At 42.6% G+C, this 18,643-nt stretch overlaps 1 protein-coding gene across 1 annotated transcript in view, besides 1 other annotated feature; it reads right to left on the reverse strand.

The window, feature by feature from the left end:
* The window catches only part of SNRNP40 (small nuclear ribonucleoprotein U5 subunit 40), a 37,221-nt gene that overhangs the window by 18,038 nt on the left and 540 nt on the right, over positions 1–18,643 (reverse strand). The window contains exons 2-5 of the mRNA NM_004814.3: positions 15,614–15,743; positions 14,308–14,401; positions 11,649–11,814; positions 3,769–3,891 (exon numbers count right to left, since the gene is read on the reverse strand). Of these exons, the coding sequence (NP_004805.2) occupies positions 3,769–3,891; positions 11,649–11,814; positions 14,308–14,401; positions 15,614–15,743 (513 nt within the window). The remainder of the gene's footprint in view (positions 1–3,768; positions 3,892–11,648; positions 11,815–14,307; positions 14,402–15,613; positions 15,744–18,643) is intronic.
* Positions 8,004–8,204: a silencer, noted in NCBI's record as "peak156 fragment used in MPRA reporter construct". NCBI's record gives its function as "represses an SCP1 promoter by STARR-seq MPRAs in K562 erythroleukemia cells {active_cell/tissue: K562}" and the evidence as "EXISTENCE:reporter gene assay evidence [ECO:0000049][PMID:32103011]".

Below are 18,643 nucleotides of genomic sequence, written 5' to 3' on the forward strand. Positions count from 1 at the left end.
CTGGGTGCACTTCTAATTAAAAAAATTCCCCGAAAATGAAGCATTGGCAGAAAAATTTGAATGTTTGTGGACGGATTAAACGCTTTTTAGCTTTTTTTTAATGCTTTGAGACAGGGTCTCTCTCTGTCGTCTAGGCTGGAGTGCAGTGGCACGATCTTGGCTCACCACAACCCCCACCACCCTGGTTCAAGCCAGTCTTGTGCCTCAGCCTCTTGAGTAGCTGGGATTACAGGCGCATGCCACCATGCCTGGTTAATTTTTGTATTTTTAGTAGAGACGGGGTTTTGCCATGTTGGCCAGGCTGGTCTAGAACTCCTGACCTTAAGTGATCCGCCTGCCTTGGCCTCTCAAAGTGTTTGGATTACAGGCGTGAGCCAACACGCCCAGCAAACACTTTTTAGTTTACTATCACCAACAGAGTACTGAACAATTTTCATCACCCCAAAAATTTCCTAATTTTTCTCCTTTGTGTCAAACCTCTTCATCCCTAACATTTGCTGATTATTGATCTCTTCTTTGCCCTATGATTTTTTTTGAGAATATAAGGAATCCTATACATATATATAAAACCTTTTGAGGCTAGCTTCTTTTATTTAAGCTGTGAGAATTTGTGCTGTATAGCACTATTGTCTTTAGAAGGCCCAGGAACAGTCCAGATAAAGAGCCCAAAGTAAGCCATACTATTGACAGTAAGTAGACTTTACTAGCACAAGAGTATTATTGTTAGGTTAGTCTATCCTCACAGTGGAGACGAGGGCATCAATCAAATTTGGTACTCTGTTGGTGGTAGTGAATCTATGCAAACATTAAAATTCTTATAACTGTACACCAAAAATGTTTATTTCACTGTATGTAAATTTACATGTCTTGAAAAGTATAAAAGTTATCATAGCTTGATGACATTAATCTATTTTCATGTGTACAAGAAGTCTTCTAGTGATTCTGACGCCAGTGAGCTCCCAACTCCATTCTGGGAAATATTGTGCACAGCTATTAAAGTTGATCTAAGTTTCCATGTTCTGATTCTTCATTCTCCAAGTATTTATATGATGGAAAAGGGATGGGAAGTTCAATTTTGGAAAACCTGAATTCTTAGGTACCTATGAGACATTCAAATGGGGGATACTGTACAGCTAGTTGTACACAAGGACCTGATGCTTAAGATCTGGGGTGGGAAAATTGTCTTCGGCAGAGGGATGATGGAGTTGTGGAAGTAGACGAGATCTGTCTTGGGGAATGTACACAGCGAGAAAAGCAAAGGCCCTTGGCGAATAATGATGTTTAAAGACTCCACAGACAGAGTAGCTCATAATGGTATGTAGAGAAGGAGAAGAAACTACCAGATGGATAGGACAGTTTGTTGTCACAGAACTCAGGGAAGAGAGAAGACCAGGTCTATGGTACAGAGCGATTATGTTAAAAAACAAAAACACATACAAAAAACAAAAAAAAAAACCAGACTATTAGGAATGAAGAATGAATGGTATGTGAGGAACTGAAGACAGTGAGTGCAGAAAAATCTCCAGGGTATTCCTCTAAGTATTAAGAGTATAATTCTAGAATGAAACTCTGGGATTTGAACTGAGGTTCCATCACGTATTAGCTGTGTAACCTGGGTTTAAGCTGTTGTGCCTCTTTTAGCTCAGTTTCCTCATCTGTACAATCGCATCAGTAGGATTTATTTCATGAGGTTGTAAGGTCAAAGTCTTTAAGATCCGTGAGGAGGTCAATAGCAAAGCTTAAATGAATTAATGATGTAAAGCTCTGAGAACAACAACTGGCAGAAAGTAAGCACTATGTGTTAGATAATGATGATAACAATATTATCACCACCACCATCATCATCCTTTTTAAGAAGTTTTGGGCCAGGCATGGTGGCTCATGCCTGTAATCCCACTTTGGGAGGCCAAGGCGGGTGGATCACCTGAGGTCAGGAGTTCGAGACCAGCCTGACCAACACAGAGAAACCCTGTCTCTACCAAAAATACAAAATTAGCCAGGCATGGTGGCACACGCCTGTAGTCCCAGCTACTCAGGAGGCTGAGGCAAGAGAATTGCTTGAACCCAGGAGGCAGAAGTTGCAGTGAGCCAAGATCACGCCACTGCATTCAAGTCTGGGCGACAGAGTGAGACTCTGTCTCAAAAAAAAGAAAAGTAGAAAAGAAGAGGTTGAAAGAAGTGACGAAGGATTGAAACCCTCACATTTAAAGGACTACCTTTAGGCCGGGCACGGTGGCTCACACCCGTAATCCCAGCACTTTGGGAGGCCGAGGCAGGTGGATCACAAGGTCAGGAGTTCGAGATAAGCCTGCCCAACATGGTGAAACCCTGTCTCTACTAAAAAATACAAAAATTAGCTGGGCATGGTGGCACGTGCCTGTAATCCCAGCTACTCAGGAGGCTGAGGCAGGAGAATTGCTTGAACTGGGACCCAGGAGGCAGAGGTTGCAGTGAGCTGAGATAGCACCACTGCACTCCAGCCTGGGCTACAGAGGAAGACTCTGACTCAAAAAAAAAAAAAAAAAAAAAGGACTACCTTTAGACAAAAGCAAGGATATTCCTTTCTTTTTTTTTTTGGAGATGGAGTCTTGCTCCGTGGCCAGGCTGGAGTGCAGTGGCGTGATCTCAGCTCACCGCAACTTCTGACTCCCAGGTTCAAGTAATCTCCTGCCTTAGCCTCCTGAGTAGCTGGGATTACAGGCACACCACCATCACATCCAGCTAATTTTTGTATTTTCAGTAGAGACGAGGTTTCACCACATTGGCCAGGACGGTCTCGGTCTCCTGACCTTGTGATCCACCCGCCTCGGCCTCCCAAAGTGCAGGGATTTCAGGTGTGAGCCACCACACCTGGCCAAAAGCAAGGATATTTCATCCAAAGTAACAGCAAAGGAAACAATGAGGGATGGAAATACAGTACAACTTCTAGGTAAGGACAACACAGAAAGTTGAGTATCTGACAGTTACTCTTCTTACTATAAAGCAGAAGGTAAGGTCAAAGTCGTTAAGATCCCCAAGGAAGCCAAGAGGAAAGGAAGACAGAAGCTGTGCAGGCCCAAAATAATACATTTCCTGGCACTTGTTATGTCCAGGAATTCTGCTAAGTGCTCTAATGAATCAGGCTCATTTAATCCCCACAATGGTATGTGGTAGATGCTACTGTTTTTTTTTTTTTTTATCATTACCCCCTCACCATTCACACAAGAAAAAGAGGCTTAAAGAAGGTGCTTGAAGTCACAAAACTAGAAAATGGTGAAACTGGGATTAGAACCCAAGTCAATTACTTGAAAGTTTGAGCTACACTCTACTGCCATATGGTCTATTGCCTCTTTAATATCATTACCTTCTCTCATTCTTAGAGAAACTTAGAAAACTCTCTTTCCATAGTGTCAAAAAGAAAAACACAGTGAGAGATGAGGATACAGAATCACAAACTGATTCACTGCTCTCTTTAAACCAAGATGGTTAAAAAAAGATTTTGAATGTCTTTAAAAGGAAATGCACTCTTTATTTTTTACATAGTCCCCCTACAGAGACTTCACACTTCACATTAAGTGCCTGGTCCCTGACAGCATTTATAAGATCTGCAATGCAAACTTTAATTTAGGAAGTCAATGAAGACAGGAGAAAAAGAAAATAAGTTCCAAGTTACTATTTTCCTTTCAGTTGGTATTAAGTGCAAAGCTACCACAATCTCAGAAGTTTGAAAAAATTCGTTTCTAAGTGCAGATAGATGAAATGGAAATATATCATAAACATCAAACATACCTTGATATCATTGTCTATTCCACCAGAAATAATCTGATCACTTGTGTCATTGAAGGTCACAGCTAACACCTGGTACGTGTTCTGAAATGTCTGGATGGCTGCTTTCTTCCGGATGTCCCAAAGCTGAAGCAAAGGACAAGACAGTCTATCAGCAACATCATTCTAAGAAGCAATTGCACAGTACAAATATCCCTTAAGTACGAGGACTTTGTGGACATGAACACATCTATAATTGGGATCCTATATCACTAACTCCTGGATATCCTAATAACACACATGGTAAGCAGTGTGCTCAATTTTGCCAAGACATTTGAAGGCTGGTGAAACAAAACTTCGGTTATATTTTCAGACTTCTTTGTTGAAGTGAACAGAGTTAAATCAACATACTCTTAGAATGGAATTCCCCTAACTACTTAGTTCATATATTTTTTAGAACAACAAGGATATCAGACAATTTTTTCAAACCGTAGAGACTAATTCATTAGTAGGCTGCAACCCACATTTAAAAAAATAGAGGGTATGTCAGTGAAAATAGTATAATAAACAATGACAAAAGCTTGTCCCTCCACGAAAGCAGCAAATTAACCAGCAAAATCTGTCAGAATCAACTGTTGGAACTCTCAAAACTAATCAAAAGTTTATAGTAACCCGGCAAACCCTTAATGAGGAAAAAGGAAACAAAAAACTCCCTGAGTCCCAGTAAAAGGGCTTTGTAGTGTTTTAACTTGTGCTGGCTCTGTCTCCTGCTCAGCAACAGCTTTGAAGATAACCCATATTCCCAGTATGGTTTCCTAGTACTGAGGAAGCAAAGGGGGCCTATTTCTTATTGTCAAAGAATAAACAATAAAAATTGTTTATTTTTACCTGTCTGGTGGCTCTCTGAAGGATGAGCCCAAAGGACTTACATTTATTTTGCCTAACTTGGAACTTCCCTTGAAAACATTTAAAGGAAAGGACATTATTAGCCTCTGGTTCCTGGGGGCAAGGAAAAACAGTTGGGGCAAAAATACAAACCAAAAACCTTGGGAGGAAGGGCTGGGGAAGGAGACAATTTGGGGAATAAGAGCTTCGAAAAGCACCGACATATTCCTGGCTATCTATCTATCTATGTATCTATCTATCTATCTATCTATCTATCTATCTATCTATCTAATCTGGGGACACACTCTCCCTCTGTCGCCTAGGCTATCTATCTATCTATCTATCTATCTATCTATCTATCTATCTATCTATCTATCTATCTTTCTATCATCTATATCTATCTATCTATGTATCTATGTGTCTATCTATCTATCTAATCTCTATCTATCTATCTATCTAGGGACAGACTCTCCCTCTGTCACCCAGGCCGGAGTGCGGTGGTGCGATCTTGGCTCACTGCAACCTCCACCTCACGGGCTCAAGCAATTCTCATGTCTCAGCCTCCCGAGTAGGTGGGATTACAGGCGTGTGCCACTATGCCCAGCTAATTTTTGTATTTTTAGTAGAGACAGGGTTTCGCCACGTTGACCAGGCTGGTCTCAAACTCCTGGCCTCAAGTGATCTGTCTGCCTCACCCTCCCAAAGTGCTAAGATTACAGGCATGAGCCACCACGCCTGGCCCATTCCTGGCAATCTAGACCACTTGCATGTCCAGGGCTGGGCACATACTTAGAAAAGATCTGAGAAGGCCGTAAGCTCTCTGGTTCACCTTCAGGCTCTGCACAAGCAGGAAGTGAAAGCTAAGGAGAGATGTAAACTGCATGGCAAGGAGTTGAAGGCAGGCTCCAACATACAAAAAGACAATCTGCAAAGACTGGGAGAATTTTTGTTCTTGTTGTTGTAGGTAATTTAGGAAACTTGTGTCATTCACTAGCTGACCACTAAGCTAACGAAAAAAAGAATTCAGTGGTCACACAGGACAAAGAATACAAACTTTACAAAATTAGTTCAAAAATTCACTAAACAGGCCGGGCATGGTGGCTTACACCTGTAATCCCAGCATTTTGGGAGGCCGAGGTGGATGGATCACTTGAGGTCAGGAGTTCAAGACCAGCGTGGCTAACATGGTAAAACCTTGTTTCTACTAAAAATACAAAAATTAGCTGGTCATGGTGGTGTGCCCCTGTAACCCCAGCTACTCAGGAAGCTGAGGTGCAAGAATCACTTGAACCCGGGGAGTGGAGGTTGCAGTGAGCCAAGATCGCACTACTGCACTCCAGCCTGGGCTACAGAGCGAGACTTCGTCTCAAAAACCAACCAACCAACCACTCTCACCTTACCCCAACCCACAGAAAGTCACTAAACAAACAACTACAATAAGCAGCTCTGGGGACCTAATTTCCAGAGTCACCACGCTATAATATTTAAATGCCTAGTTTTCAACAAAATATAAGGCATGCAAAGAAGCAAGTAACTATGGTCCATATAGAAGGAAAAAGTAGTCTTCTCAACAAATTGTGCTAAGACAACTGGCTAACCACATGCCAAAGAATGAAGGTAAGCCCCTGCCTAACATGATACACAAAAATTAATTCAACATGGATCAAGGACCTAAATGTAAGAGCTAAAACTATAAAATTCTTAGAGGGCCAGGTATGGTGGCTCATGCCTGTAACCCCAGCACTTTCGGAGGCCGAGGCCAGGAGGATGGCTTTAGCCCAGAGTTAGCGACCAGCCTGAGCAACATGGTGATTCCTCATCTCTACAAAATAAAAACAAAAAGTTGGGTGTGGTGGTATATGCCTATAGTCCCAGCTACTTGGGAGGCTGAGATGGGAGGATCGCTTGGGCCAGAGAGGTTGAGGCTGCAGTGAGCCGTGATTGCGGATCTGTACTCCAGCCTGGGTGAGAGTGGCGGCATCTCGGCTCACTGCAACCTCTGCTTCCGTGTTCCAGCAATTCTCCTGCTTTAGCCTCCTGGATAGCTGGGATTACAGGCATGCGCCACCACGCCCAGCTAATTTTTCTATTTTTAGAAGAGACGGGGGTTTCACCATGTTGGCCAGGCTGGTCTCGAACTCCTGACCTCAGGTGATCCACCCACCTTGGCCTCCCAAAGTGGTGGGATTACAGGCGTGAGCCACTGCACCCGGCCAAGACCCCATCTCTTAAACAAACAAACCCTTATAGCTCTACTTTTTTAAAGCGTGGATAACACAGAGAGGGCTCAGAGATGTTTCAATAAATGAATGACACACTTGAGAAGATGAACCACAAGTAAATGATTTAAAAGTATGGGTCGTTTCATTCAGAAGAAAGAGACTTTGGGATGACTGTTCCAAGTTTTAAAGGGCTGGCATCAAAAAGAAAGGAATCAGCCATGGAACTTTAGGGAAGGTCATAGGCTTAACTTCAATCCTGTAGTCAACAAGGAGAGTCTGAGTAGGATCTGTGCCAAGATGCCTCTTCCTCCCAATTCTCATGGTTTAGGATGAAAAGTAGTTTCTTCTTTGTTCATGTAAATACGAACTAAAAATTAGTTCATTACTCAGATAAATGGTCTAAAAAGAACGCTTCACTCCTCTCCTACATGCCCAACATCTCCTACTCCCCCAACTCCTGTGGTTACAGAATCAAGTCCAAACTTCTTAACCTGGAATTCAAGGCCTTAATAATTTAGATCCTATATATTTTATAAACTGTACTATAATCTTTGTCTCAATAGATACTTCACTCAGGTCAAATCTATCTTTGTCTTTCTCCTAAAAGTCATGGTAGTCAAAGTTTGTTTAAAATAATTTAGAATTTTAGTTCCAGATAACTACCACTTTTAATAATTATTTTACTTTGAAGCAATCATAAATTTATAGAAAACTTGGAAGTAAAAAGAACACTTTTTTTGGTCTAAATCATTTGAGAGTAAGTTGCTTACCCAATGCCTTATCACCTTTTTTTTTTTTTTGAGATGGGAGTCTCACTCTGTCTGTTGCTCATTCTGGAGTGCAGTGGCGTGATCTCCGCTCACTGCAACCTCCACCTCCCGGGTTCAAGCAATTCTTCCTCAGCCTCCTGAGTAGCTGGTATTACAGGCATCTGCCACCATGCCCGGCTTTTTTGTATTTTTAGTAGAGACAGGGTTTCTTCAAGTTGGCCAGGCTGGTTTCAAACTCCCGACCTCAAGTGATCCACCTGCCTAGGCCTCCCAAAGTGCTAGGATTACAGGCATAAGCCACTGCACCTGGCCCCTTATCACTCCTAAATAGTGTCTGTCCTACAAAGATGTTCTCCTACATCATCTCAACATAACCATCAAAATCAAGAAATACAGATACACTATCACCATTTTATCCTCAAATCCCACTCAAGTTTTACCAGTTATCCCAAATGTCTTATTGCACAAGGATTCAGTCTGGAATCATATGTTAAATTTAGACTCCAGTCTGCAAGACTCTCTCAAACTTTCCTTGAGTTTTATGAACTCAACACTTCTGAAAGTTACAGGTCATCATCCCCAATTTAGGTTTGTCTTATGTTTCCTCTTGATTAGATTTAAGTTATACATCTTTGGTAGGAATATCACAGAAATGATGCTGCATCTTTGTTGTATCCTAGCAAATGGTTCATGATTTTGTCTTGTCCCATTACTAATTAGGTCGATTTGATAATTTAGTTAGGATGTTCTTTTGACAAAATAAGCCTTGACAAGTACAAGGCTTATCTTGTACTTTCACTGCCCCTGGGCTGAAATAGGAGCCCTGGTTCCTTTTAATGGAAAACAGTACCTGTGCAGTAAGGGGTGCTATTGCTATTGGGGTCTTGTTGCTCCTAAACCTTTTCAGTGGACAGTCAGGCAATATATGTACATTTAGGTACACACACACACACACTCACACATTTATGTCTATTTTTTTCTATATGTTTCTATATTGAATATTGTGAGTTCACACTTATACCTCACACAAGATTCATTTTAGTCTTCTCTTTTGTACTGGTAACTCTGTTCTTGGACAGAGAAATCAGCCTCCCATTAAATTCAATATATTCACTTATTTGATTATGCTTCCTGCATGCAACCAGTTTCCCATATTCTCTTCCACCCTTCCCTACTTGAATTGTGATTCCCATTCTTGGTTGAAGCCATGTGTGACTCTTCCTTAACCAACTTGGGTCATTCCTCTGTGTGAACACCCTCATCACTCTGCTACGGCTCTTTTCCAGTCTGCACTTCTCCAAGCATGCAGTCATCATCTTGCTCAGTCTCAGACTCCCTACACCAAATCATTTCTACCCTGTGTGGATGCCCTCAGTTCAGGCTTTGACATCCACATTCTCCCCGTACTGCTTCACGTACAGGCGACCCTTTCACCCCATTAGGGCACTGTTGGGCTGCTGCCCCTCCCTCACCCTCAAATTCCCCACACTGGTTACCTACCCTGTGTTGTATGGATGCCTTCCTCACTCTCTGACTACTCCCTACAATGTACTGCCCTGCCCAGTGTGGATGCTCTCCTTACCACACTTGTGCTCTGACACTCTACTCTGGGCCACCTTGGCCCATCTCTAACTAGAGCACCTTCCCTGCTTTGGCCTATATAACTGGCTTTAGGACTGAACTGCTCATGAAAGGGAAATTTATATATATATGAGTACATACACACATACACGCAGTATTTCACTTAATTTTATTAGAAGAATGCACTTGATAAAAAGTTTGAAAACGATCTGTATGAATAATGCCCAGAATGCTTTTAGACTAAAAATGCAAGTGCTGTTGGAAACCTTTGCTTTCTGTTAAGAACTCTGACATGTAAAAAGCAACATGACTTTTTTTCCTCTTAAACTGAAGTTATTCAATTCCTGTACTTGCAACCTAGTAACAAAAATACAAGAACACAAAGCATTCCAACTTCACAAGTAACTGAAAAGTACATTGCAAAAAGCTGTTTAATGATGCCTTAAATATAAATATACTGACATTAAAAATAGGAGCTGGTTAAAAAGCAGTCATCTTTAGGTGATGTGACATACTGCTTATTAAAAAAAGTATTAACTTGAGTAATAAGGTAAAAATAACTATTCCAAATCATGTTTAATTAAGGCAGAAGAGAAGCAAAAAACCAAAAGAAGGCAGACAGAAAGGACATATACTCTTTTTCTACTACCTAAATAGTTCCTAGATATTTATTACAGCAGGCCCTCAATAATAATGTTAACAAAATTCACTGGGGCATTTCCACCTCTTACTATCTTCTGAAATGACAATTAGTAAATCAGCTACTGTTAAGACTCTCCAACTACAGTGACATCTAGGTCAGAGCTCTGGTTTAGAAACCAATCTTAAACAACAGACTCTCCTCCCATCCAACCATCAAGGGGCCCCAAGTGATTAGGTATAAGAAAACCACTCAGTAGAAAAACGTCTCAGCCAAGTGTGGTGGCTCACGCCTGTAATCCCAGCACTTTGGGAGGCCGAGGGGGGCGGATCACAAGGTCAGGAGTTTGAGACCAGCCTGGCCAATATGATGAACCCCTGCCTCTACTGAAAATACAAAAACTAGCTGGGCGTGGTATGGGTCCCTGTAGTCCCAGCTACTAGGGAGGCTGAGGCAGGGGAACTGCTTGAACCCAGGAGGTAGAGGTTGCAGTGAGCTGAGATTGCGCCACTGCACTCCAGCCTGGGCAACATGGTGAAACCCCATCTCTACCAAAAATAGAAAAATTAGGCAGGTATGGTGGTGTGCACCTGTAATCCCAGCTACTCAAGAGGCTGAGGCTGGGGAATCACTTGAACCCGGGAGGTGGAGGCTACAGTGAGCCAAGATTGTGCCACTGCACTCCAGCCTGGGCGATAGAGCAAGACCCTGTCTCAAAGAAAAAAAAAAAAAAGCAAATTCATTAATTCATTTAAAAAGCAATAAGAAGTATGGGGGTGTAGTTTCCCAGATGTACTCTTTTGAAGTCCCTCACTGTTTAACAATTAAAATATAAACCAGAGCCCAAAATTCGTGTCAAAGAGAGAATCAAATGGTTGGTACTATGATGTACTGTGTCCTTGTGTGCCTCTGAGATAAATTATTATTTCTAGGCCTCAGTTTCCTTATTTATAAAATGAGGATGCTCAGTGAGATCAGTGGCTCCCAGAATGTGAGACTGGCTACACTGAATCACTTGAAGGACACATTAAAATATCTGATTCCCATTGCAGATCCACTGAACCAGATTCTTTGGGTATTTTTAACAGGTTCTTCAGGTGATGATGATATAAAGATAGGCTGGCAACCATCTGACTAAACGATGTTTAAGTTCCCATCTTGTGCCATACTAAAACTATTCACTGAACTTTTTATATATTGTCTATAATCTCAGAACAGCCTTTTTTTTTTTTTTGCTACCTCCCTGTTGGTGGAGATACTCATAACAGCCTTGAAAGACACGTATATTACTGTCACAGTTCTTTTTTTTGAGACAGAGTCTCGCTCTGTCGCCCAGGCTGGAGTGCAGTGGTGCAATCTCTGCAAGCTCCACCTCCCGGGTGCACACCATTCTCCTGCCTCAGCCTCCCAAGCAACTGGAACTACAGGTGCCCGCCATCACGCCCGGCTTATTTTTTGTATTTTTAGTAGAGACGGGGTTTCACCGTGTTAGCCAGGATGGTCTTGATCTCTTGACCTCGTGATCCACCCGCCTCGGCCTCCCAAAGTGCTGGGATTACAGGCGTAAGCCACAGCACCCGGCCTATTTCAAGTAACAATTTATTCTATGGTTCTATTATTATTCTGTAGGGTAATTAAAACTTGTATTAAATGTTTTATTTTAAATGGGGAAAAATTTCAAGTGTGTTATGGGAGATGACTGCTAAAATTAAGTTTTGCACAGGAAGCTAGAGTACAAGTGGCAAGGCAAGATAAGGTTCACATCACATCACCTCAGAAACTGGAACACGGAGAGACAATACCCACCTTAACTGTGCCATCGTCACTGCCAGTGCAGACAAGCTGAGGGCCTCTCCTGGCTGGATAACAGGAATTCACAAAGGAAGTATGTCCCTTTAGCCTTTTAACCCTCTCACCTGTTTCACTATCCCACACAGCCACGGTTTTATCTGTGGATGCTGAGAAAAGCATACTAGAAAGTAAGAGAAAGAATAAAAAAGAAATAAGTGAAGATAAACAGTAACAATCTATCTTTCCTACTTGACAAAAGGTGCCAAATTTTTCAAGATCACTGACCTGCTGTGCTACGCCAGTTTGCCCATGATGCTGGAATGCCTCACCCTACCAAAATCCTATTTGTCCTCTAGGCCCAGATGGCCCAGATAAAAGATCTACCCCTGTGAAGTTTAAAAAATTCCCCTTCTTTGAGTCCCCATGACATACATCTAATGTAGCAGTTTGCTCTATCTTTTCCTCTTTTGTGATAGCTAACATTTTAAACATAAGACACCCTCTCACTTGGAAATGTTTAATAACTCCCTGGTGCTGCAGAGATCAGACAGACTGTGGTACCGACCTGACAGCTGAGTGACTCCAATCTTTTCTCTTTACCAAAGTTTTTCTTTTGTCTCTGAGGACAATTTCTTTCTTTCATTTTTTTTTTGAGATGAGATCTTGCTCTGTCACCCGGGTTGGAATCATGGCTCACTGCAGCCTCGACCTCCTGGGCTCAAGTGATCCTCCCACCTCAGCCTCCTGAGTAGCTGGGACCACAGGTCTGTGCCACCATGCTCAGTTAATTTTTAAAAATCATTTGTAGAGGCAAGGTCTCACTATGTTGCCCAGGCTGGTCTTGAACTGGGCTCAAGCAATCTTCCTGCCTCAGCCTCCTACAGTGCTAGGGTTATAGGCGTAAGCAACCACGCCCAGCCTCTGAGGATGATTTCTAAGTTATAACTGATCTTATAATGCTTTCTTTTTTCATTTTTTTTGAGATGGAGTCTCACTGTGTTGCCCAGGCTGGTTTTGAACTCTTGGGCTCCAGGAATCCTCCTGCCTCAGCCTCCCAAATAGCTGGGATTATAAGCACATGCCACCAGGCCCAGCTTTCTAATGCTTTATTTAAAATGTATACAATGCTATGTATCAATTGATGGAGCACCCTAAGATTTTAGAGGTCAGAAATGTAAAACAATGAATGTTTACCAGACTACCTAACAATGTAATTACTTTTGTATAGCCAGATTTCTATATTATCTATAATATATTCTAAAATAATATAGTCATTAAAATGACGTTTATGACATCAGATGTTGGCTGAGCAATGTTAAGAGAAAAAAGGAGCAAATAAGATTGTACACACAGTTCTGGCCAGGTGCGGTGGCTCACACTTGTAATCCCAGCATTTTGGGAGGCCAAGGCGGGCGGATCACAAGGTCAGGAGATCGAGACCATCCTGGCTAACACGGTGAAACCCCATCTCTATTAAAAATACAAAAAAATTAGCCGGGCATGGTGGCGGGCACCTGTAATCCCAGCTACTCAGGAGGCTGAGGCAGGAGAATGGTGTGAACCCCGGAGACGGAGCTTGCAGTGAGCCGAGATCGCACCACTGCACTCCAGACTGGGCGACAGAGCAAGACTCCGTCTCAAAAAAATAAAATAAAATAAATAAATAAATAAAAAAGATTGTACACATAGTTCTAACAAATATGCAACAACTAAACAGTTCTGAGTAGAAAAAAAGGCATTAGAAAAATGTATAAAATTAACAGTGATTGGCCAGGCACGGTGGCTCATGCCTGTAATCCCAGCACTTTGGGAGGCTGAGGTGGGCGGATCACCTGCGGTTGGGAGTTCAAGACCAGCCTGACCAACATGGAGAAACCCAGTCTCTACAAAAAATACAAAATTAGCCAGGCACGGTGATGCATCCCTGTAATCCCAGCTATTCTGGAGGCTGAGGCAAGAGAAACACGTGAACCTGGGAGGCGGAGGTTGCAGTGAGCCGAGATCGTGCCATTGCACTCCAGCCTGGGCAACAAGAGTGAAATTCCGTCTCAAAAAAAAAAAATTAACACTGATTATCTTTGGAGTGGTAGAAATATAGACTATTTTTTCATCTTTCTGCTTTTTTTGGTTTCTCAAAAGAAATGATTTTTATAATAGAAATAGCTGATTTCAGGCCAGGCATGGTGGTTAATTATTGTAATCACAGCATTTTTGGGAGGCTGAGGCAGGTGGACTGCTTGAGCTCAGGAGCAATATAGCAAGACCATGTCTCCACAAATGATTTTTAAAAATTAGCTGGGCATGGAGGCGTGGGCTTGTGGCCCCAGCTATTTGGGAGGCTGAAGTGGGAGGATCCCTCGAGCAAGAGGTTGAGGCTGCAGTGAGCCATGTTTGTGTCACTGCACTCCAGCCTACATATAAAAATCACATTTATTTTATGTCTTAAAAAAAGAAAAATTTGTCTGGGTTGTTGAAATGACCGATGTAACATCTTTATATTTGCATACACAGACTATAAACACCTCACTTGGGGTGACAGTGATAAATCGGATACTAAAGTAGCTACCCAAAATTAGTAGTTTTTGATAGCAGGGTCTCCTGAGAAAGGATGAAAGGTGAAAGGACGCCAAGAATTAGTATGAGAAGCTGTCCTTCCATTATGCAGAATACTCACCTGCCATCTGTGTTGTAATGCAATTCCATCACTGCTCCACTGTGTCCCTTCAGTGTGGCATAGTTATCACAGTCACCATAGACATTCCACAGTACTGTTAGGGAGATGGGTTCTGTGAGCATTACTAGGCAAAGGGTACTTATAAATTTATCAGAACAACAGTTCTCAGGTCAGGCACGGTGGCTCACACCTGTAATCCCAGCACTTTGGGAGGCCGAGACGGGTGGATCACTTGAGGTCAGGAGTTCGAGACCAGCGTGGCTGATACGGCGAAACCCCATCTTTAATAAAAATAAAAAAATCAGCCAGGTGTAGTGGCAGACGCCTACAATCCCAGCTCTTGGGAGACTGAGGCAGGAGAATCACTTGAACCCAGGAGACGGAGGATGCAGTGAGCCGAGATCGCGCCACGGCACTCCAACCTGGGTGACAGAGTGAGACTCCGTCTCTAAAAAGCCAACCGACCAACCAAACAAAAAAAACTATGTAGTTTGTCTGATGAAATTAAGCCTATCAATAATTCATATATGTTCTGCAAAGATCCCTAAGCAATCCAGACGTTTGGCCACTAGTAAGCTTAAGGATCATAGAGCCGGAACATCCAAATCAAAATGGGCAGTGAAGACGGGTATCATCCACCCGGCACCGAGGAAAAGAGTTAACAGAAAAGAGCCAAATAACTCATTTCATCTCATAATCTGGCAAGAAAGTAGCAACAGAAGCATCTGATTTTTTTTCCTTCTGGCTTCATTTGCTGGAGTATAAATAAAACGACTTTTTCTACTTACTTCTCAAAAATGGGTATGAGAAATTCTTATTTCTCAAAAATGGAAATCTGGTAGTAGATCCTAATGATGTACAGGTAGATTATTTAAGGGAGTTACCACTTTAGGATTCCTTCCTTCCCATATGCTAGCTAGGATTCTGGGTGTGAATTAAGAGGACCTTATACCTTTGGGAAAATAAAAGTTATTTCTCTCCTCATTACTGCCATTAACCTGTTATGTCTAGATTGCTAAGTGCCTTGGTAAATTAGCTGGAGATTTGCCTCTATGAGGAAGACATTCTCAAACCAGAACAACTCACTTTCCAACTAGTAAAATAATGGCTTCTGTATTTACCCCATGGACTCCAAGTTCTACACCCAAGATCATTCAGCATGTTCATGCCCCAATTTTAGCATATTAGCCATGCAGCCTGTTATGTTGCCAACATAGAGTGATACCTTCTGTGGCACCCAAGATTTAAAAAAAAAAATCACTATCTGGCAGGAAAAATTATTCCAGATTCAAAAACTATGCCTCACATATCAGTCGGTCAAATCCTGCAGATGCTAAGGTGGATCCGTTGGGGTGGAACTTGCAGCAGTAGACTTCCCCTTCATGTCCAGAGAGCAGCATGATTGGGGCTTGAAGGGAGGAACATCTTGGAGGTCCCTAAACAAAAGAGAAGCACAAGGTAACTACTGCATACAGACAAAGGAGGCTACAAAATTAGGGGGTGGGGAGTGGAGGGAAAAGACCAAGAAAACAATGATTAAGTGGGTTTCATCTGACTTACAGAATGGTAGCTCTTCTCATATGAATGCCTCCAACTTGACACTCTCTGAAACTTTCCATTATCTACCTGTTATAATGACTCTCTTGTTCACTCTCTCAGCTCTTGTTGTACGACCAACTTTTTTTTGGAGATAGGGTCTCACTCTGTCACCTAGGCTGGACTGCAGTAGTGTGATCATGGTTCACTGCAGCTTCAAACTCCTTGGCTCAAGTGATCCTCCTGCCTCAGCCTCCTGAGTAGCCAGGACTACAGGCATGAACTAGCATGCCATGCTAATTTTTTTAGTTTTTGTGGAGATGAGGTCTTGCTACGTTGCCTAGGCTGGTCTCAAAATCCTGGCCTCCCTCCTTGGCCTCCCAAAGCACTAAGATTATAGGAATGAGCCACCACATTTGGCCTGGCTCATTTAACAAATGATGGAACTGACTTTCCCAACAACTCTGCTTGGTATGGAGTACTGGGTGAAATAGTTTTGTTTTATTTTTAATTTTTTTTGTGTGTTTTGAGACAGAGTTTTGCTCTGTCACCCAGGCTGGAGTGCAGTGGTGTGATCTCGGCTCACTGCAACCTATGCTTTCTGGGTTCAAGGGATCTGGTGCCTCAGCCTCCCGAGCAGCCAAGATTACAGGCATGCACAACCACGCCCGGCTAATTTTTGTATTTTTAGTAGAGATGGGGTTTCACCATGTTGGCCAGGCTGGTCTCAAACTCCTGGCCTCATGTGATCTGCCTGCCTTGGCCTCCCAGAGTGCTGGGATTATAGGCATGAGCCACTGCACCTGGCCTATTTTTATTTCTTATTTTTTCATAGCAAACGGATCCTCAGCATGGGTGAAGTAGTTTTGATTATGGTCTTGGACACCAAGATGACACTTGGGCAATTCATCTAAACATGGGCTGATATGCTCACTTGTCAAATGGGAGAAGTATACTACCCATAATCCCCAAATCTCTTCAGTACTTCCCAGCATTTTCATATTTATTTATTTATTTATTTATTTTTTGGGGAAGGAGTCTTGCTCTGTTGCCCAGGCTGGAGTACAATGGCGTGATCTCGTCTCATCGCAAACTCCGCCTCCTGGGTTCAAGCGATTCTCCTGCATCAGCCTCCCGAGTGGCTGGGATTACAGGCACCCACCACCAAGCCCGGCCAGATTCATTTAGTTTTAAAAAATGTTATGTGCAGGCTGGGCGCGGTGGCTCACACCTGTAATCCCAGCACTTTGGGAGGCTGAGGTGGGCGGATCACTTGAGGTCAAAAGTTTGAGACCAGCCTGACCAACATGGTGAAACTCCGTCTCTACTAAAAATATACAAAAATTAGCCAGGCATGGTGGCGGGCGCCTGTAATTCCAGCCACTCAGGAGGCTGAGGCAGGAGAATCGCTTGAACCCGGGTGGCGGAGGTTGCGGTGCACCGAGATTGCGCCACTCCACTCCAGCCTGGGTGACAAGAGCAAAATTCCATCTTAAAAAAAAAAAAAAGAAGTTACGTGCTAGGCACTGGGCAAACAGCAATGAACAAAATAAACAATGGAGCTCGCTGTTCCAGTGGGAAAGGGGGAAGGGAGAAGGGAAGGTGAGAGAAAACAAGCAAACTATATATGTGGTGTCATGTGCTATAGAGCAAAAGAAGGGATGGGGATGGTGGCTCATGCCTGTAATCTCAGCATTTTGGGAGGCCAAGGTGTGCGGATTGCTTGAGCTCAGGAGTGAAATCCTGTCTCTACAAAAAAATACAATTAGTTAGATGTGGTGGTGTGTGTCTGTGGTCCCAGCTACTCAGGAGGCTGAGGCAGGAGGATCACTTGAGCCCAGGTGGTGGAGGCTGTACTGAGCCAGTGGTCAACACAGAGAGATTGTCTAAAAACAAAAAAACAAAAAAAGAGAGAGAGAGAAGCAATGTGGGTTCCACAGTATGTGGTACTGCAATTTAAAATAGGGTGGTCAGGAAAATCCTCACTGAAAAAATTACATTTGGGCAAATATTCGCAGGAGCTGAATAGTAAACCATGTAAACATTTGTGAAGAGCAATCCCACAGAGAGGACAGCAAATGCAAAGGTCCTGAAGCAGAGGCTTGGAAGAGAGAGTAACTGAAGCCAGGTGAGCAATAAGAAATTGGTCAGAGAGGTAAAGGGAAAGAGGGCAAATAATTACAAGAATTTTGGTTTTTACTCTGGATGAAGTACAAAGCCACCAGAAAGTTTTCTGCAGAGTGTAATGTGATCTGATGTTTAGAAGGATTCCTTTGGTTATTGGCTTGGTAACAGGTGCTGATACAAAGGTAGAAAGTGGAAGACCAGTTAGGGTCCCACTACAAAAATGCCAGATGAGATAATAATGGCTTAGGCCATGAGGCAATGATGGAGATGGTAGAAGTAGCAATTCTAGACCTATTTTGAGGACGGTGCCAGCAGGATTTATTGAGGAGATGTGAGGACACTCGTATTTCCTCGTCTGAGCCTAAACAGGACATTAGAAGTGTGATCACTATTTCTATCTTACAAAAAATGTAGTTAGGAGCATGGTTTCTCAGTTCGAAATCTGCTTCTATCACGTACTTGGTAAGTCTGTTTTTCCATCTGCAAAATGGGTTAATAACGTTCCTAACAGGCTGCTACCAAGATCAATGGAAATTTCATATACGAAACACTTTAGTACAAGAGTCAATGAATGTTAGCTGCTATTTAGTTGTTAATAATACTAGTGCAGAGAAATAAAGGGAAAAGCAACTTGCCCAAAGTCCCAAAACGAGCCAACACAAATCATTTCCCT

The sequence above is a fragment of the Homo sapiens genome, chromosome 1 (assembly GCF_000001405.40).
Source record: "Homo sapiens chromosome 1, GRCh38.p14 Primary Assembly".
Classification (NCBI taxonomy): Eukaryota; Metazoa; Chordata; class Mammalia; order Primates; family Hominidae; genus Homo; species Homo sapiens.